Source organism: Homo sapiens, chromosome 2, assembly GCF_000001405.40.
Source record: "Homo sapiens chromosome 2, GRCh38.p14 Primary Assembly".
In the NCBI taxonomy this organism is placed as follows: domain Eukaryota; kingdom Metazoa; phylum Chordata; class Mammalia; order Primates; family Hominidae; genus Homo; species Homo sapiens.
In genome coordinates this window covers 37,716,008-37,739,003 of record NC_000002.12, presented here as the reverse complement: position 1 = coordinate 37,739,003, position 22,996 = coordinate 37,716,008, and the positions used below count along the sequence as shown (strand labels likewise).

Below are 22,996 nucleotides of genomic sequence, written 5' to 3'. Positions count from 1 at the left end.
ACTGAGGCTCGTATTAGTGAAGTAACTATTTTTAACTATATTTTCTTATTTTCTGTATTTCTGATGCTCTGACATTTGGGGTTCAACTGACCACGGAGAGACTGACCTCCCAGGGTTAACTAATTCCTAGAGATGGTAAACATTTGCCTTGGAGCATGTCTTTGATGTGCAAGCCAACCAATCCTGAGTCTATACTCACACCTGCCCCTTTACCTGGGTCTTACATTCCAAGAGGGCAATATTCCTCCGCCTTAAGCATCCCAGGGCCAGGGAAGACACAACGAGGAGCCACTCAGATAGGCCAGAGCTTGCAGAGATTATTCAAATCCCCTAAGCCTGCTCAGCTGCGTACCTTGCTTCATTCATTCTTTCCATTCTTTAAAGTCTTGCTTTAAAGATTTGTTAGGCAGGGCCAGAGAAATGTAGTCTAGAGATAATTATACTCCCCACTGTGCAGGTAAGATTTCTGAATAATCTACCCAGGCCCTGCGAATTGTGAGGATTTCCAGTCTGGCTGGTTTTCTTTCCATGAAAACCACAAGCAAGGCTTTGCCTATGTTTTCTCCTGGCTCCTTCTGCCTCCTGACCAACCCTGGTGCTTCCCCGTGTGGACCCCTGTGACATGGCATGCCCTTCTTGGGAGCTGTAAGTTACAAACTATCTTTTTAATGGCCATTGTCTCCTGATATTTTGGTCTCACTATACCTGAACAATATCAAAATTCCAGGTACAGTTTAAAACAACTGGGAATCTGCTATGGTCGCAGAGAAGGATGGTGAGCTCCTAAGAACAAGGGCCTGGTTTCTGTTGTCTTTAAACCCAAAGACCCAAAATAGCATTTGGAGTTGTTGTAAGCCTAAATCGTGCTACCAGGGTCAACAAGATGGGCCCTAACATACTTGTACAATTACAACTGCTGAACAAGACAATCCAAAATAAAAACCATGCTAGGTCCACAAATCTAACATGGAAATGAAGATTCCCCATTATTAGGGTAGAGGCACAGGGCTGCAAAATATGTGGCCATCTCTGCAATCATCCACAAGAACAAAAATCACTTTCCTCCCTGAATAAAAGGAAAAACAAAGTTTAGAATCCATAGGAAAGAAATAATTGGGTTTTGGTATATAATCTGATGAATCATGTATCATATTAAGTTCTACCTTACTAGCAATGTTGTCACTGATGAGTTTCCAGTGGTTTTAAACATGTTCTCAAATTCTTCAACACTCTTCACATCAAGAAGTGGTGTCTGTTTCTCCTCCTCTTGTATTTTCCTGCTTCTTTGCATGACTAGTATACTTTGATTGGATGCCAGACATTGTGAGTTTATCTTGTTTGGTGCTGGATATTTTTGTATTGCCCATAAATATTCTTGGGCTTTGTTCTGGGACACAGTTGAGTTGTTTAAAAACAGTTTGATCCTTTCAAGTCTTGCTTTAAAGATTTGTTAGACAGGGCCAGAAAAATGTAGTCTAGAGATAATTATTTCCCACTGTGAAGGGAAGACCCTTCTGAATAATCTACTCAGTATCCTGTGAATTGTGAAGATTTCCAGTCTGGCTGGTAGAAGCAGGCATTACTATCAGCCTGGTGTGAGTGTGAGTACGTTCCTTCTAATCCTTTCAGATAGTTTTTTCCCCAGCTGGCTTTGAGTAGTCTCTCCACACACAGGTGCTGGTCAGTACTCTGTTGAGTTGAAAGGGCCCCTCCAGAGATCTCCATGGTTCTCCCCCTGTGCAGCTCCCCTTCAAGACCCTGCCCTATCAGCTCAAGTCTCCTCAGACTACCAACTCTATCTCTTCAATTCAGGTAGTCTGTTGAGCTCTTCCTGGGCTACCCCTCCCTGTGATGTTGCTTGGTGATAGAGTTTGGCTGTGTCCCCAACCCAAATCTCATCTCGAATTGTAATTTGAATTGTAATCCCCGCATTTTGAGGGAGGGACCTGGTGGGAGATGATTGGATCATGGGGGTGGTTTCCCCCATGCTGTTCTCGTGATTGTGAGTGGGTTCTCAGGAGATCTCGTTGTTTGATAAGTATCTGGCACTTCTCCCTGCATGCTGTCTCTCCTGCCGCCATGTAAGTCATGCCCTGCTTCCCCTTTGCCTTTTGCCTGATTGTAAGTTTCCTGAGGCCTTCCCAACCATGCAGAACTGAGTCAATTAAACCTCTTTGATTATAAATTATCCAGTCTCAGGTATTCTTTATAGTAGTGTGAAAATTGACTAATACACCTGGAAACTCTTTCAAGGCAATTGCTAGAATAATTGTAAGGCTCACCTTGTTTGTTTCTCAGCCCTCAGGGATCTCGGTCCTTCATTATGTGATGTTCCTTGTCTTAAAAAAACATAATTTCATCTAATTTATCAGATTTTTCTTAGGTTGTTTCAGGCAGGTAATTTCAGTCCCTATTACTCCATCTAGGCCAGAATTGGAATTTCTCAAACTGTTTTTTTGAAACAAGTTCTTACTCTGTCACCTAGGTTGAAGTGCAGTGGCATAGCCAGAGCTCACTGCAACCTTAAACTCCTGGGCTCCAGTGATCCTGTTACCTCAGCCTCCCGAGTAGCAGGGACTACAGGTGTTCTTCATCACACCTGGCTAATTTTTCTTTTCTTTTCTTTTTATAGAGGTGGGGACTCACCATGTTTCCCAGATTGTTCTCAAACTCCTGGGCTCGAGTGATCCTCCCACCTAGGCCTCCCAAAGTACTGGGATTACAAGTGAGAGCCACTGAACCTGGCCCCAAACTGTTCAAAAAAAGTAGAAGTTGCTGTATAGGAGTGGCTATTCCTCTGCATCCTTACCAATTCTTGTTTTTTTTCAGACTTTCTAACTTTTTTAAAAGGATTAACTAGTTCACACAAGGGATTTAATGTGCCTTTCCTCCCAGATTCAAATTAAAATTAATCCAGATTTAGATTAAAATTAAAAGAGAGAGGACAATATTTAAGCTAAAGGAATGGATCTTCAATCATGACATTTCAGGCAGGAGGGTACCAGATGGGAGGAATACACCAGGACCAGGGGAATTTAGTCCAATATCCTTTGCCATTGGAGTATTTCTATTTGTTTACTTTAAGTAAAGCAAAGTCCTTAACTCATTAAAACTAATGGGACTGTGAATGGAAGTAAAGTTTAATGCCTAGTATAAATCATAGAATCCTTCAAGCATTTAATTTCATGAATAGAAAGTACTCTAGAGAGTCTTGACTAAAATTTCCTACTCAAAGTCCAGAGAAAGACACAAAGATTAAGTGTCTGCACACACACAGGATATTCTGAGTCAGAGGAGCAGCATCAGCTGCCACTTGGGTCATGTTATGAAGCCCCCTTCCTCTCCAGGGACTGTGTTGCCACACTTAAAAGCATTTTAATTGTCTCTGAAAGTGGCCATATTCTCCAGAGAAAAGTGAAACCTGCATTCAGCTCTCTGGAAGGAATCTAATTATCTTGAAATTACTGAATTCTCTAGGTGACTTCTTCCGGATAAACAGGATCCTTGTTTTTACTTTTTTTTTTTAGGGAAGATGGTTTGGTATTACTCGTAATAGACTGTTCTGTGCTCCCCCTCTCACTTTGGTTCAATGAGAGACGCAGTGGAATTCTTCAATGCCTCCTCTACACCTGGCCTTTATCAAACTGTATAAACACCCAACACTGCGTATAAGTATTTGTTTTTTCTTTTTAAAGCAAAGCTTTGGTAGTGAGCATATTCATTAAACTTTAAAAATGTCTCTATAATCTTCTTTTTATTTAGCTCTTAGTACTTCTACATCCATAGTCTTCATTCTGAAATAACGTTTGTTTTGTGGTTGCTGGTAGATGTGATGAAATGATCTAAAATCTGCATTCCACAATGCTTTACAACAGACCAAAATAGCATTCTTGTTCACGCTAGGATACCCCAGTGCTGGCGCTCACTCCAGCTAGCTAGAAAAGAGCTAGCAGTTAGTTCCTGAGTGCGAAAATAGAGTCTTTATGGCTTCAAACTTGCTCCTTCTAAGGAAGAAACAAAGCTGCTTCATGCTCCCCTTTTTCTTGGTCTAATTCAAAGGGTGCACTTCATGAGAAGTGGGAGACAAGAGTAGCCACACCCTTGTTTCTGGAAATCGAATGGTCTTACTCCCTTGTGAATATGAATTCCAGGAGTTCACCGACAAAAATTAAGTAATGTTTTCCATCAGAGGTCTTTATTTTGGAGGCTGTAAGACCCAAACTGCCAACACATCTTCCATGTAATAAGATGTATTTTGAAGTTTTTCAGACTTTTTTTAAAGGATGGTAATTTACACTTTTTATGTACACCTCAAGAAACATTTGCAGCAAAAAAGGTAGTTCAAATTTGGTTGACAGTATTAGAGTTTTTGTCTCCCACTAATTACGGATTAAACATCAGGAATGAAACTGAGGGTCCAGGGATATATTTAAAACAACTGTTAGGTCTCATTCAGTATCAAACTTGCCTCTGAGAAAACTTCCCACATCCCAAAACAGGAAAGATCTTAAAAATGACTTCTCTAATCATGGCATCTCCTTTCCTCATGAGAATTCAGCACATTTCAAACTTGGTTGCAGAGTCTTGTATTAGAATGAAACTACTCAGAATCTAATAGCCACATTCTTGTTGTTAAATGAATTTGGAAGCTACCATATCACTCACTGCCTTCCTCCCAGCATCTGGAAGAAAACTTGGGATCATCCCCAATGTATGCTTCACTTCCCCCTAGTTAATTAACCAGCTTTAGAAACACCTCCTGCCTGTGCCCATGGTGAGATGCTTTCTTCAGGCCCTAGCATCAGGGCCCAGTGGGTCTCCCTGTTTCCTGTCTGTCTTTGTTCCCAACTCCACAGTGCTGACAGGTTGACCTTTCAGAAACAGAAACACACAGCACTGGACCACTTCTAGGCTTACAGTGCAGTCCCCATTTCCTTCTTGTTTGGCTTTCAGATGGCCTTCTGTGGGGAGCCTGAGGGGCTGAGAAGATTGAATCCCAAGCTCCCTCTTTCAACTTCTAAGAATCTGCTCTGCATCCATCTCTTTTACACTTGAGGGCTTGAATTTTTCATTGAAAAGGAAGCATGTTGATCAAAACCAAACAATCAAACCTACAAACCACTGGCTTCAAGATAAAACCCTAATTCCTTATAATGGCATAGAAGGCCCTCCTCCACGGAAAGCCACATCTGCCATTTCTCCTGGCAACTTCTGCTCCAAGCTCTGAGTCCCTTGATGAGCCTCTGATACACCAAGATTTTGGTACTCTTTAATGAGACTACCTTTCTGATCCTCCCACCCTAAACAACTCCTACTCAATCTTGAGGACACAGCTCAATTGTTACTTCCTCACTGAACCTTCCTCAACTTCCATCTTCATGCTCCCCAGTACTAAAATCTTGCTTTTTTTTTTTTTTTTTTAATTACAATCTTCCACAATCTTATGTGTCTTTTTTTCTGGGAACATATTCATCTTTGTATCACTGGCATTGAACACAGCTTTCTTGGCACGTAGCAAGCATTCTCATGCTAATTAACACTCTCAGGTTGCATGCCATTAAATCTGTTCTCCATCACTTTTATTAATGTTTGTGTATGAGACCTTCCAAATGTAACCTTTAAAAACAGAAAATCAAACAAACAGAGAAACCCACTTAAAATACATGTACTAGAAAAATAAAAGAACCTTTGGAAAGCGGGAAGAATGTAGGAATGACTGAAGGAAACTAAGAACCATAGCTGATTCACTGAATCTAAACTAACAGTTTTAAATTTTGCGAAGGTCTGCTACTTGTGCACATGTGGAAACTTTCAGGGGCTTGAAAGCACCAGAGTGAACTGGATTTGGAGGCTGAGATTAAACTTCTTCCCTTTATTTTATGTACAAGTAAGCCTCACTAATTCAGACTAAGGGGTGGGACAACTGTTCAGATTAATGAAATTCTATATTATGTAATGCTCTAAATGTAATTGCTTTTTTGATACTTTAGACTTAGTTTACGTAAACACAGCATCATTCAAGATGTGCACATTCATACGCAAGTTACCTTGTTGATCACTTCAGAGTTCAGTCTCAGGCCATTTGTTTGTATCATTAATGCCACTACAATCATTATTTTTCAAAGTTCAACTTCATGATATTTGTTCAGATGATCACAATTCTGATCTAGCGTCTTATGAATTAATAACATTTAAATTGTCATATTTCAGCAAATATGCATTAATGCATAGTATTCCTCAGACTAGAATGAAAAACTGGGCTAGAAAGAGGCTGCTCTGTACTCTCTTCATGTTTCCAAATTATTTTCATGGTGAATTTAGCCAGTTTTCCATGGCTCATGAAACTCCAAGCTGGCTTGAGTTTCCTGCTTCCTTCTTTGGCAGGACTGTATCAAACCTTTTCAAGAGATGTGTTCTTACTTTACAGGGAAAGGAAATATCAGATCCAAGCCATTCTACATGCACCAGATGCCAAGCACCAAACAAAAGCAGCTCAGCTTTTCAAAGATTTGCTATCTTAACTGTAGCCACTTGAGTCAAGACTTGGTCCCCAGAATGGCCAAGTAAAATAAGGCAGAATTAGGGCTAAATTGATCTCCACATCTACTGTTCATAAATCTGCATGAAAAAGTTCTGAATCAAAGAAAATAAATTGAAAGTGTGTAATGCTGGTTCACATCCAGCAGAGCTGTGTGTTTTGGAGAGGACACATGTGGCTTATTTTTGCAGTGAAAACTGTCTCTTCTCAGTGGAGGTTGAGTTTGGGGCTGCTTATGATGATGGAACCAAGAAAATCCTGAAATTCTAGAAGACAGCCCCTCAGTAGATCACTCACTTGGAATGCTTCTCTCTAAATGAAGAGGAAGAGGGAAGAAGTCTCATATAGATGCCTTTGAAAGCCATCAGAGTGGCTTTCAGGAAGGGAAACATGGAAGATCCACTGCCTCTTCTATCACTAGATGCTCATCTCAGACACAAAGATACAGAACTGTAAAGAAGGAGACAGGTCTTTTAGGTCTCAAAGGTTGGCAGAATTTCAGGCCCTATGTAGAGGAAACATGGCTGCTAAGGTCTGTTAAGTGGGAGGGAGTTGTATGGAGGAAAGGGTTGACTTTCTAGCAACTACAATTAGTTAGATACAGTAAATGCCTTTTGGCTATAGCTGACAATAGTCCCCCTTACTTGAGAACTATCTCCAGACAACAGTAGGACCTCCCATTGCACAACTCCACTGGGTATCATGCACACACAACAAAATATGAGTAGTGCCCCTGGAGGTGTGCAATGAAGAATTCTTGCTCAATAGCCTACTCTGGAACAGAGGACCCTACCTACCCCCCTGCAGTTGGTTGAACCAGGGATAAACCCTTGACCATACTGAGCCAATCAGGGCCATCAGATCATCTCTTTTAGGATTTGGAATTTGGATTGAAAACCTTCCAATTAATGCAGGCTGTTGCCTTATATGAAGATAAGGCAAACTTTAGTCACCTGGAGCAGGGTGTGTGTATGTGTTGGGTGGTGGTTGGAAAAGGGGCATCTTCTACCTGCAATTGCATATTCTGTAGAGGGGAAATAATATAAGCAATAATCAGAGAGAAGTAGCAGTAAGAGATAGAGAGAAGGCCCCACCAAGGCTCCTGACAACTTTTCTCTTCCTAGCTGCAGACCTCTCCCGAGGTCCAGCTGCATTTCTGTTCTTGGGTTTCATAAAATGCTTCTGTCCTTAAAACCACTGTTGCTCAAACTCACTTAAGTTGGCTGTGGTTACTAGCAGCCTAAGAGTCCTAAAAAGATTCTGAACAAAATAGTCACTTATGGTAAAATTGGCCCCTGTTTCTAGGAGAGTCTGTCCTTCTTTTTAATTGATGCTAGCCACAGGTAGGTCTATATGCAAAAAATATCTATAAAGGCAGGCCATATATATTATTGATTTATTTTTAAGGACTCCTAAGAGCAGTCAGATTAACAGCATAATCCAGTCCTGCAGTCAATATTTCTCTTTATGGTAAAGTTATTCAAATTCAACCTGTGCACTCCTTGCTGCAATTTCAGCCTCCTTCATAATGGTTCTCATCTAGGTGAATCTGGAGAATAAATGACAACCAGCCACTCTCTGGATAATAATTTTAAGTGCTAGACATAGAAAGAGGCAGAAATTCTTACTTGGTTCAACCTTCTAATTTGATGAATGAGGAGGCTGAAGACCACAGAGACTTATGTGATTTGCCTGAGGTCACATGTCTAACTGTGGCAAAGCAGGGAATAGAACCCAGATTACAAACTGCCTCGAAGCCAACTGTTATCCAAGAGAAATGCCAAAGGCAAAGCCAGTCATTTTTCTGGTCATTAATTTTAATTTCCCAGTTATTTGATCTGGATAGCTTCTAACTCTGAGACACTTTTACAGGTAAAAATCTTGGCAAATAATTAAATGGTTTCTCTGTTTAATTATTGACTCAATGGTATGTAGTAAAATCACTGGGCTTTTCAGGTGATCTTGACAATGTTGTATATGTCAGAATAAAAGGAACCTTCTGAATTTTGAGTTTATAAATCTCATTAAAGGAGTATGTAGTCAAGGTGTCAGTCAAATTTTAGAAAAGTATATGTCACATGAAGTTAAAATTGTTCCAAACAAAAAAAGAAAAAAAAAGAAGGAAAAAACATATATACTTAACTATGTGTTAACAATGTGCTTGTGAGTCATGACCAAGTCAATTTTCAGTATGAGTTATAGGTGGAAATGGTTCTTACTATTACCATTTAATATGATGTAGGCTTCAGGTACAGTACAGAGACACATATGTGAGGTGATTTAATCCTGCTAAGTCTATAATATTTCTCTAACATTGCATTAGTCAAAGAAAATGACAAATCCTGGGCAGCTAAATGCATTATTATTCATTTAAATAAATTGGTTGGGTCATTAGAACCCAGTTAAAATCCCCTTCCTTTCAAATCAATGGGGGTTATTATATTTAAGGCCCCTTTTACCAAAAGAAAATAAAAGAAGAGAAAAATATTTAGTAATATTTAGAATACTGGGTTCAGTGGGAAATAGAAGAGAGACAGGGCTGGTGGTGATGGTGGTGATGGTGGTGCTGGTGGTGGTGGTGGTGGTGGTGGTGTGTCTGTTAGGCTGGGCCCTCAGTGGATAGTGCCTTTCCATAAGAGCCAGGTGCTTGGCTCAATTATGGCTCTACTCCGGTAGGAAAAATGATATCTTCCAGCATGAAAAAAAAACAAAACCAAAAATATTCCAGGTAACATCCAGCATAGTGGAAAAGGAAGAGAGGGGAAGCGAAGGAGTGAAGGCAACAGACTCAAATGAAAAAACTTGCCATTCCAGCCCTGCCAAGAATTTACTGCATGACCTCTAGCTGCTCACTTCACCTCTCTGGTGCCATCTGTGAAGGTTGCACTAGAAGACCTAAAGCCCCTATCAATTCTAAAATTCTATGATTCTGGAATATGAATCCTGAAAACAAAAAATATATGGCTTAAGAAAAGCCATAATACGAAGGTGTTACCCCAAAATAGAGTTCGGATACCATGGACACCATAGTATAGTCTCATGTATACAATATTTGAGGATTATATGTATTATACACACTGGATTTTAGTCTTTGACCAGATCCTTGTCAACTTGATCCCAACTACCTTTCTATATATATATATATATATATATATATATACACATATATATATTTCTTTATATGTATATATATATTACTTTAAATTCTAGGGTACATGTGCACAACGTGCAGGTTTGTTACATATGTATACATGTGCCATGTTGGTGTACTGCACCGATTAACTCATCATTTACATTAGGTATATCTCCTAATGCTACCCCTTCCCCCTCCCCCCACCCCACAACAGGTCCCAGTGTGTGATGTTCCCCTTCCTGTGTCCAAGTGTTCTCGTTCAATTCCCACCTGCAAGTGAGAACATGCGGTGTTTGGTTTTTTGTCCTTGCGATAGTTTGCTGAGAATGATGGTTTCCAGCTTCATCCATGTCCCTACAAAGGAAATGAACTCATCCTTTTTTATGGTGCATAGTATTCCATGGTGTATATGTGCCACATTTTCTTAATCCAGTCTATCATTGTTGGACATTTGGGTTGGTTCCAAGTCTTTGCTATTGTGAGTAGTGCCACAGTAAACATACGTGTGCATGTGTCTTTATAGCAACATGATTTATATTCTTTTTGGTATATACCCAGTAATGGGATGGCTGGGTCAAATGGTATTTCTAGTTCTAGATCCCTGAGGAATCGCCACACTGTCTTCCACAATGGTTGAACTAGTTTACAGTCCCACCAACAGTGTAAAAGTGTTCCTATTTCTCCACATCCTCTCCAGCACCTGTTGTTTCCTGACTTTTTAATGATTGCCATTCTAACTGGTGTGAGATGATAACTCATTGTGGTTTTGATTTGCATTTCTCTGATGGCCAGTGATGATGAGCATTTTTTCTTGTGTCTGTTGGCTGCATAAATGTCTTCTTTTGAGAAGTGTCTGTTCATATCCTTTGCCCACTTTTTGATGGGGTTGTTTGTTTTTTGTTGTAAATTTGCTGGAGTTCTTTGTAGATTCTAGATATTAGCCCTTTGTCAGATGAGTAGGTTGCAAAAATTTTCTCCCATTCTGTAGATTGCCTGTTCACTCTGATGGTAGTTTCTTTCGCTTTGCAGAAGCTCTTTAGTTTCATTAGATCCCATTTCTCAATTTTGGCTTTTGTTGCCATTGCTTTTGGTGTTTTAGACATGAAGTCCTTGCCCATGCCTATGTCCTGAATGGTAGTGCCTAGGTTTTCTCCTAGTGTTTTTATGGTTTTAGGTCTAACGTTTAAGTCTTTAATCCATCTTGAATTGATTTTTGTATAAGGTGTAAGGAAGGGATCCAGTTTCAGCTTTCTACATATGGCTAGCCAGTTTTCCCAGCACCATTTGTTAAATAAGGAATCCTTTCCCCATTTCTTGTTTTTGTCAGGTTTGTCAAAGATCAGCTGGTTGTAGATGTGTGGTATTATTTCTGAGGTCTCTGTTCTGTTCCATTGTCTATATCTCTATTTTGGTACCAGTACCACACTGTTTTGGTTACTGTAGCCTTGTAGTATAGTTTGAAGTCTGGTAGCATGATGCCTCCAGCTTTGTTCTTTTGGCTTAGGATTGACTTGGCAATGCGGGCCCTTTTTTGGTTCCATATGAACTTTAAAGTAGTTTTTTCCAATTCTATGAAGAAAGTCATTGGTAGCTTGACGGGGATAGCATTGAATGTGTAAATTACCTTGGGCAGCATGGCCATTTTCACGATATTGATTCTTCCTATCCATGAGCATGAAATGTTCTTCCATTTGATTGTGTCCTCTTTTATTTCATTGAGCAGTGGTTTGCAGTTCTTGAAGAGGTCCTTCACATCCCTTGTAAGTTGGATTCCTAGGTATTTTATTCTCTTTGAAGCAATTGTGAATGGGAGTTCACTCATGATTTGGCTCTCTGTTTGTTATTGGTGTATAAGAATGCTTGTGATTTTTGCACATTGATTTTGTATCCGGAGACTTTGCTGAAGTTGCTTATCAGCTTAAGGAGGTTTTGGGCTGAGATGATGGGTTTTTCTAAATATACAATCATGTCATCTGCAAACAGGGACAATTTGACTTCCTCTTTTCCTAATTGAATATCCTTTATTTCTTTCTCTTGCCTGATTGCCCTGGCCAGAACTTCCAACACTATGTTGAATAGGAGTGGTGAGAGAGGGCATCCCTGTCTTGTGCCAGTTTTCAAAGGGAATGCTTCCAGTTTTTGTCCATTCAGTATGATATTGGCTGTGGGTTTGTCATAAATAGCTCTTATTATTTTGAGATACATCCCATCAATACCTAATTTATTAAGGGTTTTTAGCATGAAGAGCTGCTGAATTTTGTCAGAGGCCTTTTCTGCATCTATTGAGATAATCATGTGGTTTTTACCTTTGGTTCTGTTTATATGCTGGATTACATTTATTGATTTGCATATGTTGAACCAGCCTTGCATCCCAGGGATGAAGCCCACTTGATTGTGGTGCATAAGCTTTTTGATGTGCTGCTGGATTTGGTTTGTCAGTATTTTATTGAGGATTTTTGCATCGATGTTCATCAGGGATATTAGTCTAAAATTCTCTTTTTTTGTTGTATCTCTGCCAGGCTTTGGTATCAGGATGATGCTGGCCTCACAAAATGAGTTAGGGAGGATTCCTTCTTTTCTATTGATTGGAATAGTTTCAGAAGGAATGGTACCAGCTCCTCCTTATACCTCTGGTAGAATTCGGCTGTGAATCCATCTGGTCCTGGACTTTTTTTGGTTGGTAAGCTATTAATTATTGCCTCAATTTCAGAACCTGTTATTGGTCTATTCAGAGATTCAACTTCTTCCTGGTTTAGTCTTGGGAGGGTGTATGTGTTGAGGAATTTATCCATTTCTTCTAGATTTTCAAGTTTATTTGCATAGAGGTGTTTATAGTATTCTCTGATGGTAGTTTGTATTTCTGTGGGATTGGTGGTGATATCCCCTTTGTCATTTTTTATTGCATCTATTTGATTCTTCTCTCTTTTCTTCTTTATTAGTCTTGCTAGCGGTCTATCAATTTTGTTGATCTTTTCAAAAAACCAGCTCCTGGATTCATTGATTTTTTGAAGGGTTTTTGTGTCTCTATCTCCTTCAGTTCTGCTCTGATCTTATTTATTTCTTGCCTTCTGCTAGCTTTTGAATGTGTTTGCTCTTGCTTCTCTAGTTCTTTTAATTGTGATGTTAGGGTGTCAATTTTGATCTTTCCTGCTTTCTCTTGTGGGCATTTAGTGCTATAAATTTCCCTCCACACACTGCTTTAAATGTGTCCCAGAGATTCTGGTATGTTGTGGCTTTGTTCTTGTTGGTTTCAAAGAACATCTTTATTTCTGCCTTCATTTCGTTATGTACCCAGTAGTCATTCAGGAGCAGGTTGTTCAGTTTCCATGTAGTTGAGCGGTTTTGAGTGAGTTTCTTAATCCTGAGTTCTAGTTTGATTGCACTGTGGTCTGAGAGACAGTTTGTTATAATTTCTGTTCTTTTACATTTGCTGAGGAGAGCTTTACTTCCAACTATGTGGTCAGTTTTGGAATAGGTGTGGTGTGGTGCTGAGAAGAATGTATATTCTGTTCATTTGGGGTGGAGAGTTCTGTAGATGTCTATTATGTCTGCTTGGTGCAGAGCTGAATTCAATTCCTGGATATCCTTGTTAACTTTCTGTCTCATTGATCTGTCTAATGTTGACAGTGGGGTGTTAAAGTCTCCCATTATTATTGTGTGGGAGTTTAAGTCTCTTTGTAGGTCTCTAAGGACTTGCTTTATGAATCTGAGTGCTCCTGTATTGGGTGCATATATATTTAGGATAGTTAGTTCTTCTTGTTGAATTGATCCCTTTATCATTATGTAACGGCCTTCTTTGTCTCTTTTGATCTTTGTTGGTTTAAAGTCTGTTTTATCAGAGACTAGGATTGCAACCCCTGCCTTTTTTTGTTTTCCATTTGCTTGGTAGATCTTCCTCCATCCCTTTATTTTGAGCCTATGTGTGTCTCTGCATGTGAGATGGCTTTCCTGAATACAGCACACTGATGGGTCTTGACTCTTTATCCAATTGGCCAGTCTGTGTCTTTTAATTGGAGCATTTAGCCCATTTACATTTAAGGTTAATATTGTTATATGTGAATTTGATCCTGTCATTATGATATTAGCTGGTTATTTTGCTCATTAGTTGATGCAGTTTCTTCCTAGCCTCAATGGTCTTTACAATTTGGCATGTTTTTGCAGTGGCTGGTACTGGTTATTGCTTTCCATATTTAGTGCTTCCTTCAGGAGCTCTTTTAGGGCAGGCCTGGTGGTGACAAAATCTCTCAGCATTTGCTTGTCTGTAAAGGATTTTATTTCTCCTTCACTTATGAAGCTTAATTTGGCTGGATATGAAATTCTGGGTTGAAAATTCTTTTCTTTAAGAATGTGGAATATTGGCCCCCACTCTCTTCTGGCTTGTAGAGTTTCTGCTGAGAGATCAGCTGTTAGTCTGATGGGCTTCCCTTTGTGGGTAACCCGACCTTTCTCTCTGCCTGCCCTTAACATTTTTTCCTTCATTTCAACTTTGGTGAATCTGACAATTATGTGTCTTGGGGTTGCTCTTCTCGAGGAGTATCTTTGTGGTGTTCTCTGTATTTCCTGAATTTGAATGTTGGCCTGCCTTGCTAGGTTGGGGAAGTTCTCCTGGATAATATCCCGAAGAGTGTTTTCCAACTTGGTTCCATTCTCCCCATCACTTTCAGGTACACCAATCAGACGTAGATTTGATCTTTTCACATAGTCCCATATTTCTTGGAGGCTTTGTTCATTTCTTTTTATTCTTTTTCTCTAAACTTCTCTTCTCGCTTCATTTCGTTCATTTGATCTTCCATCACTGATACCCTTTCTTCCAGTTGATCGAATTGGCTACTGAAGCTTGTGCATTCGTCACGTAGTTCTCGTGCCATGGTTTTCAGCTCTATCAGGTCCTTTAAGGACTTCTCTGCATTGGTTATTCTAGTTAGCCATTCATCTAATCTTTTTTCAAGGTTTTTAACTTCTTTGCCATGGGTTCGAACTTCCTCCTTTAGCTCGGAGAAGTTTGATAGTCTGAAGCCTTCTTCTCTCAACTCATCAAAGTCATTCTCCATCCAGCTTTGTTCCATTGCTGGTGAGGAGCTGCGTTCCTTTGGAGGAGGAGAGGTGCTCTGATTTTTAGAATTTTCATTTTTTCTGTTCTATTTTTTCCCCATCTTTGTGGTTTTATCTACCTTTGGTCTTTGATGATGGTGACGTGCAGATGGGGTTTTGGCGTGGATGTCCTTTCTGTTTGTTAGTTTTCCTTTTAACAGTCAGGACCCTCAGCTGCAGGTCTGTTGGAGTTTGCTGGAGGTCCACTCCAGACCCTGTTTGCCTGGGTATCAGCAGCAGAGGCTGCAGAACAGCAAATATCGCTGAACAGCAAATGTTGCTCTCTGATTGTTCCTCTGGAGGTTTCATCTCAGAGGGGTACCCAGCCGTGTGAGGTGTCAGTCTGCCCCTACTGGGGGGTGCCTCCCAGATAGGCTACTCGGGGGTCAGGGACCCACTTGAGGAGGCAGTCTGTCCGTTCTCAGATCTCAAACTCCGTGCTGGAAGAACCACTACTCTCTTCAAAGCTGTCAGACAGGGACATTTAAGTCTGCAGAGGTTTCTGCTGCCTTTTGTTCAGCTATGCCCTGCCCCCAGAGGTGGAGTCTACAGAGGCAGGCAGGCCTCCTTGAGCTGCAGTGGGCTCCACCCAGTTCGAGCTTCCCACTTTGTTTACCTACTCAACCTCAGCAATGGCGGGCGCCCCTCCCCCAGCCTCACTGCCACCTTGCAGTTTGATCTCAGACTGCTGTGCTAGCAAAGAGCGAGGCTCTGTGGGTGTGGGACCCTCCAAGCCACGCGCGGGATATAATCTCCTGGTGTGCTGTTTGCTAAGACCATTGGAAAAGCTCAGTATTAGGGTGGGAGTGACCCGATTTTCCAGGTGCTGTCTGTCACAGCTTTGCTTGGCTAGGAAAGGGAATTCCCTGACCCCTTGTGCTTCCCAGGTGAGGCAATGTCTCACCCTGCTTCGGCTCACACTCGGTGGGCTGCACCCACTGTCCTGCATCCACTGTCCAACAAGCCCCAGTGAGATGAACCTGGTAGCTCAGTTGGAAATGCAGAAATCACCTGTCTTCTGCATCACTCACACTGGGAGCTATAGACTGGAGCTGTTCCTATTCGGCTGTCTTGGAACCGCCCCCACCGATCCTGACTTTCAAAATGGGTAATAGGAAATGAATACAAGTCAAAATGACATGAAGCTTTCTTTTGAATAACTTTTATCTATAAGAAACTCCTGTGAAAGAAATTCTCAGTGATGCTACACCAGACAGGGGCCAGTGCCCAGTGAGAGCAACCTTGAATACGCTGCCGGATTCCAGCCTTCCTCTTTCTTCAGGTTGGTGGCCCTATGTAAGGTTGGCTTTTCTACCTGCTGCAGCCAAGCTGCACTACTTATAGCTCAGAGGACAAGCCAGGCTCTCTCTTACCTCCATTCCTTCTGTCTGCCCTTCTTTCTACACTCTATAACCAGCCATCCCCAAACCTACACACGCACATATAGACCACTTATCCTTTAGGTCTCAGCTTAGTCATTACCATTTCTCAGGATCCTCCTCAAGACCTTCAAGCCTGAATTTGAAGCCCCTCATAGATTTTCCTGCAGTAGTCTTAGTGTATCAGTCAGCTCTTGCTGTACAAATAAACAATCATGATATCTCAGTGTAATACAACTAGAAGCATTATTTATCATTCATCCATCTGCAGGTTGGCTGGAATAGCCCTTGCTCCACCAGTAGAGATGCATAAGCTCAAGGACTTGGTAGGGCACAGTGGCTGATACCTGTAATCTCAATACTTTGGGGGGCTGAGGAGGGTGGATCACTTGAGGTCAGGAATTCTAGACCATCCTAGCCAACATGGTAAAGCCCCATTCCTACTAAAAATACAAAAATTAGCTGCGCATGGTGGTGCACATCTGTAATTCCAGCTACTCTGGAGGCCGAGGCACAAGAATTGCTTAAACCCTGGGGAGGCGGAGGTTGCAGTGAGCCAAAATCGCACCATTGCACTACAGCCTGGACGACAGAGTGTGACTCTGTCTCAAAAAAAAAAAAAAAAAAGACTCAAACCCAACCTAGCAAGCCCATTTCAAGCCTCTGCTTGTATCCCACTGATCAAGGCAAGCCACACAGCCAAAAAACTCCAGCACCAAGGGCAGGGAAGTACATTCTACCCACTATGAGGCCATGGAAAGGGTGGATATGTAATAGTACTACTTACTACGCAATCATTCAGTCTTTCCCACCTATACTAACAGTGTCTATCACAGTGTATTGTCATCCTCTGCATAAAGCCCCCTTTAGGCTATTACCTTCTTAAAAACAGAGGCCATGTTTTTTCATCTTTGTATTTCCTATCTGGTATACAATAGGCACTTGAAGATATTTGAGTGAGTGAGTGAATGAATGAATTGGAAGCAGGTAGTATTCTACCAGGCTCTGTTCCTGATCCTTCATAATACCCCTCCTATGTGCCTACTCAACGTTTTTACTACAGTTACCAAAATGAGAACAAAATTATTATGAATGAGCCTGGTTTATGTAGGGGTAGAGAGTGAGGGAGAAGAGAACCACATCGTAAGTCACTTTACCTACTTTGGCTTTTGTCCTTGATTGCCATTGGTAGCCTCCCCAAAAAGATATCTAACCTAAGTGGATCCCAGGCTACAAGCGGTGGGACTCTAGAACACATTTTAAAAAGATATTTCAGAATCCTATCTTGCTGTTCAGTAATTTTATTTTAGAGCAAACACAGGAAATGGAACACATTTCTAAGCAAATACTTCCCTGATTACTTACACATGCAAATTCATGGACTAAGTTTAGATGCATAATTAAACATCTAGTTATTTTCAGGCCCATACTCATAGGCCAAATCAGATTCCCAAAGGAGGCACATGGTTGGTTTATTTCTGTGTATTTGCTTGCATCCTCAACTGTAGGCTTTCGCCTGGGGGGAAAAAAAAGCATTGGCTCAGAGATCTCAGCGATCTGGTTGTGGTCCCAAAAAGCAAGGTGAATCAAGGACATGGCAAGTTTTGTGATTTTAAAGGATACATCTGATCTGAATGCTGCTTTTGTGGGCAGAGAAATGCATGATGATGACCTCCTCTCTGAGAGTGGGAAATAAGGGCAAGGTAGGCGCCATCCTTAGCACAGCTGTCACTCTTGTAATGAATAACAGTCCACTGGCCAAAGCCAACATCAACTTCCCATGTTGCAACTGCTTTTTATATACTTTCATCATCCATATGAAAACGTTAATGCCATGGGATTTTGTGCCAAATGACATGCTCAGATGCCAGTTTTACACATGCAAAACAGATGAGTGGTTTGGAAAGTTTGTATTCATTGTTACTTTACAAGCAAATGGCATCACCCCCTCACCTCCTGGTCACAGTGATCTACTGTTCAACGTGCTTTTCGCTTTTCCTAAAGGCATCATTTTCTTAAGAGTTTCTTCACAAGACATCCACTTAACAACACTTTCACTGTGAGCAGGGATTTGTGACAAAAAGCAGTTGAATACCACGGTGAGACAAGGCCCCTCTGGGGGCACTGGTGGCCTACTTTGCCCCAACTTCCTGCATCATCGTTAAGGAGAAAGACCTCCTCTGGCCAGCTGTGCTGGAGCACTCAGAGAATGCCTTGTGCTGCCTGCTCTTTTTCCTCTCCACCTCACCTCTCCCACACATTTCACTTCCTTAAGCCTCCCATGGAGGATGGCTTCAGAGTCTGTTCTCTGCTAATTGGGGAAAAAAAGGTCCTCTGTTTTTAAGGGATTGTAGAGCCCATGATGTACGTATGAGCCACCTTGTTTTAATACCATTTGGTGAGAATGTACCACATGGCTAGGTACTACATTTAGAAACATTAATATGTTTGTACCTCAAGAACAACTCTAACAGCTCTACAAGCTAGATATTATTATCTCCATTTCACAGATGAACTGAAGAAACTTTTCCAAATCCCAAGTAAATGAAAAAGCTGGGATTTAAACCCAAGCCTATCTGGTCACAAATCCCAGGCTCTCAACCAATTCATACAAGCCTCCTCCACAATCCTTGTCGATACCTACAGAAGACTCACAAGGCCCAAGTCTAGTTTTTAATTAAGATAACACTTGTTAATAATGCCCTGCTTTAAAGACGTTTGAGTTCTTCACTGCGAAATATCTCTGCAAAAAGCAATGAACTCAATTTGGCTAAGTTTTTATTTTCTAAATGTATACTTTTCCCTGAATATCCAAAACTAAGATTGCAAATCCCTCCTTGCTTCCACTTCCCTGCTAGGTATAAATAGTATGACCATATTGAAATCTTATGTTCTCTTATCCACTTCATTTTTAACAGGCAGAAACGAGTAATGTGAGAGCCTGCAATTGTAATCTTCATAAAGTATATCACATACCGTTCAAAAACATCAAGTGGCATGTTAAATAAGCTTTTGGAGAATAAGTTGAGCGTGACACCACAAGAAGAAAAACAGAATCCATGACTTCTCAAAACATGATCTTGCTTCAGATGAGAAAGCTCTGTGCTTAGTTTGCTGTGAGTACTTCTTTGTGTCCATTGTGGCCTCCTATCTAACATAAGGATTCCTTTCCCCAAGTGGTGGAACAGTGGGTAGGAGAGTCTGTTCATATCCCAAAGGTGTGCCAAAAGGATTTATCAAGAAGGGGATGACGGAGGTTGCTCTTCCAAAAGCGTCCAGAGTCACTGAGACCTGACCTGTGTATTTTGTATCCTATCCATGTCAGGTAAGGAATACATTATTTAAGTCCATCTTCTTGGGAGAGGGAGATGAGAGCTGGAGAGTTGGGGGCTAATGTCCAATCAAAATGGAAAAGAAAAAGTGTTTGTGGCTAAAGGAAGCATCCAGAAGACATAGCAAGGATCACTCTGTTCCCTTGTATCAGAGCTTTGCTTTCCGTTTGTCTCCAAAATTCAGGAGTTGGAAACAAGCCTGAGGGTGTGATGTTCTCGGAACCTCTAGGAACAGCTTTAGCTCCAGACACCTTTTGCAGTTCCCACATTAACAATCCTTCTCTTCTTGCTGATGAGAAGTGGTTGAAACACTTCTTGGACAAGCAGTTGCATGGGGTATATTTACCTTTTCCAACAAACACAAAGGCTGTACCTCTCCTACATAAATGTGTGAGCAGCACAAACATATGACACAGTGCTGTGTGCCGAAATCAGTTTAAAGGATTAGAGAATGGACCATAGTCCAAATTGGCCATTATGCTGCTGCTGGGGTCTTTAAAAAAAACTGCGATTTTCCTTTGCTTTGTCACTTTAAGCTTATCTTTTAAGCACAGATGTTCTGTGCTTCTAAATTTCATGTGTCCAGAAAACTGGCGGATATAATGTAAATGAGATTACTCCAACCCCTCCATGACAGTGAAATTGGACAACGCCTCTGTTGCCATTGCTTAGACCCCAAATGCACAAAACCAGGAATTAGTCTCTTGGTTCTCTCCACTTTCTGTTCCCATAAAAACTGTTTGGTCTAGGACACTGTCCACTTCTTATCAACAGCGTTTCCTTCTTGGGTATTACCAGTGATAATAGCTCAGGCTCGCCTTTTTCTCTGGCACTCACAGGAATTTCTGTTGACACCAGGGTGCTGGTGGAGAACATATCTCCAGAGAGCTCAAAGGGAAGGTTTGCAGATCCATTGTCGTAGTTATTTCTTGATCATATATCTTTCTAATTAATTTCTAACTTTTTCATGAATACACATGAGAAGAAGGGCATTGGGGAGAAAGAGCCTGCTGTGGAATATTATTTCTCATTTATTTGTATTCCAAAAAATAAGATCCTGCATACCTTTCAAGGCCCAGCTTCAAGGTCACCTCCACCTTGAAGTCATCAAATTTAACTCAGCAGTTACCTCTTCTTCCCTTGAGCTTCCTTATCTTTTGGGGGTACCTCAGTCACAGCACTCATCACATCATGTTTGATCATTTAGTTTTTAATTACAAATCTACTTCCAGACTGTAAACTGCTGGTTGGCAATGGCTAAGCTCTACTCAACTCTGTCTCTGTATTGAGCATCCTGCATGGTGCCTTGTATGTAATATCTTTTCAGTAAATGTTTGCGGAAATGTCTGCATCTATGAAATAGTTTTTTGAAATATCACATTCCAGAGAGGTTAAGATGCACTATTTCAGTGGTTCTGAAACTTTATCATGCATCAGAATCACTCAGAGGGCTTCTTATACCAGACTGGTGGGTTCTACATCCAGAACTTCTGATTCAGTAGGTCTGGGGTGAACAGGCTGGATAATTTGCATGGCTAACAAGCTCCCTGGTGATACTAGTGATGCTGGTCCAGAGACCACACTTGGAGGAATGATAAACTATCTTTTTTTTTCCACATTTTAATATCTCATATCTATCTAAATCTGAAACTTGTTGACATGTCAGTTTAGTTGACAACTTTTTGCTTTCATACTAGTATATAAAATAATGGCTTTACAATCAACAGCATCTTAGATTAAATGAAACGTGGCAGGCTTCCTGTTACATATTTGAATCTGTATTATAAAACATCAATTACCTCATAAATGAATTAATGCCCTTATAAAAGGGCTCAAGGGAACTAACTAGCTCCTCTTTGCTCTTCTGCTTTTCCATCATGTGAAGACAGAGACATCTTAGAAGCAGAGACCAGACACTCTTCAGACACTGAACCTTGTGTCTTGCACTTTCCAGAGTGCATAACTATGAGGAATAACTTGATGCTGTCTATAAATTACCCAGTCTGAGCTATTTTGTTATGGCAGTAAAAAAGGGACTAAGACACTCACCAACAAATGCCAGCTTTTTACTCCAAAGCTAACAACAACAAAACCAAGCAAGAGCAATAACACCAGGGAGCCCATTAAATTGAAAACATTCCAGCAAGTATCCCAAGGTCGCAGACCCAGATAGGTTTTGCTAGCCACCTTCCTGGAAGGAGTGGGCCATGTTTTCCATCCTCAGAAAATGCTGTTTGCAAGGAAAGCGGTGAGAGCAGAGATAATCAATCTAGGCGTATCATAGTCAAGTTGCTGAAGACCAAAGATGAAGACCAAATCTTTAAAGCACCCAGAGGGAAAAGACAGATTACATGTGGGGGAAAACAATACAGATGAAGGCTGACTTAGAGAAAAAATGGAATCCAGAAGAATATGGAATAGCATTTTTTAAAGTATTGAAAGGAGAAAATTGTCAGCCTAGAATTCTATAAAAGTATCCTTCAGAAATTCAAGTAAAATAAAACGTATTTTCAGAAAGAGAAAAGTTGACAGGATTTATCTCTAGAAGACTTACTGTACAAGAAATAATTTTTTAAAAGAATGAAGAACAATAGGCAGGGTAAATACCTGGGTAAATGTAAAATAACCTTTTCTTTTTAAGTGATATGTATTTATATCAATAAATATATATAGGTATATATAGACTGTATAGATACATACATATGTAATTCTTTAAAAGATTGTTGAATGAAGCAAAAATAATGTATTGTGGAATTTATAGCACATGTAGAAGTAAAATATTTTTAAAAATAGCACAAAGGGTGGAAGGACTCTAAACGAAATTATTCAATTGGAAGTGTCTTCCATTGATTATGAAGTAGTATATTATTGAAGGTAGATTAAGATGATTTAAATATGCATAGCATAATATCTAAAATAACTCCAAAAAACCTCACAGAGGTATTACAAAAAGATAGAGCTTAAAGGTTGATACAGGAGATTAAATGGGATATTGAAATATACATGATTCACCTGAAAGAGAGCAGAAAAAGCAGGATAAATGAATGGAAAAAGATGAGAGAAAAAAATAGCTTGAAAATATATGAAGCAAAACCAAGTAGAATTAATATGAGAGAAAGACAAATCTACAGTCACGGTTAAACATATTAACATCACTTTCTGAGTAACTGATTTAAAAAGCAGGGAAAAGAGTATAATTTAAAAATATTTGATCCACACTGTCAACCAATTTGACCTAATCAACATTTACAAAACACCACTCCCAAAACAGCAAAATATACATTCTTTTTAACTTTGCATGAACTATTAACCAAGATAGATCAAAAATGCCGAGCCAGAAAATAAGACTCATTAAAATTAAAAAGATTGAAACCATACAGAGTACATTTATGACCATAATGACAATATGGAAATCAATAACCATCAGATATCTGAAAAAACCCAAATATTTGAAAATTAAACATTATATATCTAAATAACATATGGTCAAAGGAGAAATTACAAAAGAAATTTGAAATCATTT

At 40.2% G+C, this 22,996-nt stretch overlaps 1 long non-coding RNA gene across 1 annotated transcript; it reads left to right on the top strand.

Annotated features, from left to right (window-relative positions):
* Positions 1 to 1,431: 1,431 nt before the first annotated feature.
* On the top strand, positions 1,432 to 19,442 carry LOC105374465 (uncharacterized). Its single transcript, XR_939971.3, has 3 exons — positions 1,432 to 1,601; positions 19,060 to 19,257; positions 19,360 to 19,442. It is a non-coding gene; the product is annotated as an uncharacterized LOC105374465 (long non-coding RNA).
* Positions 19,443 to 22,996: the final 3,554 nt, after the last annotated feature.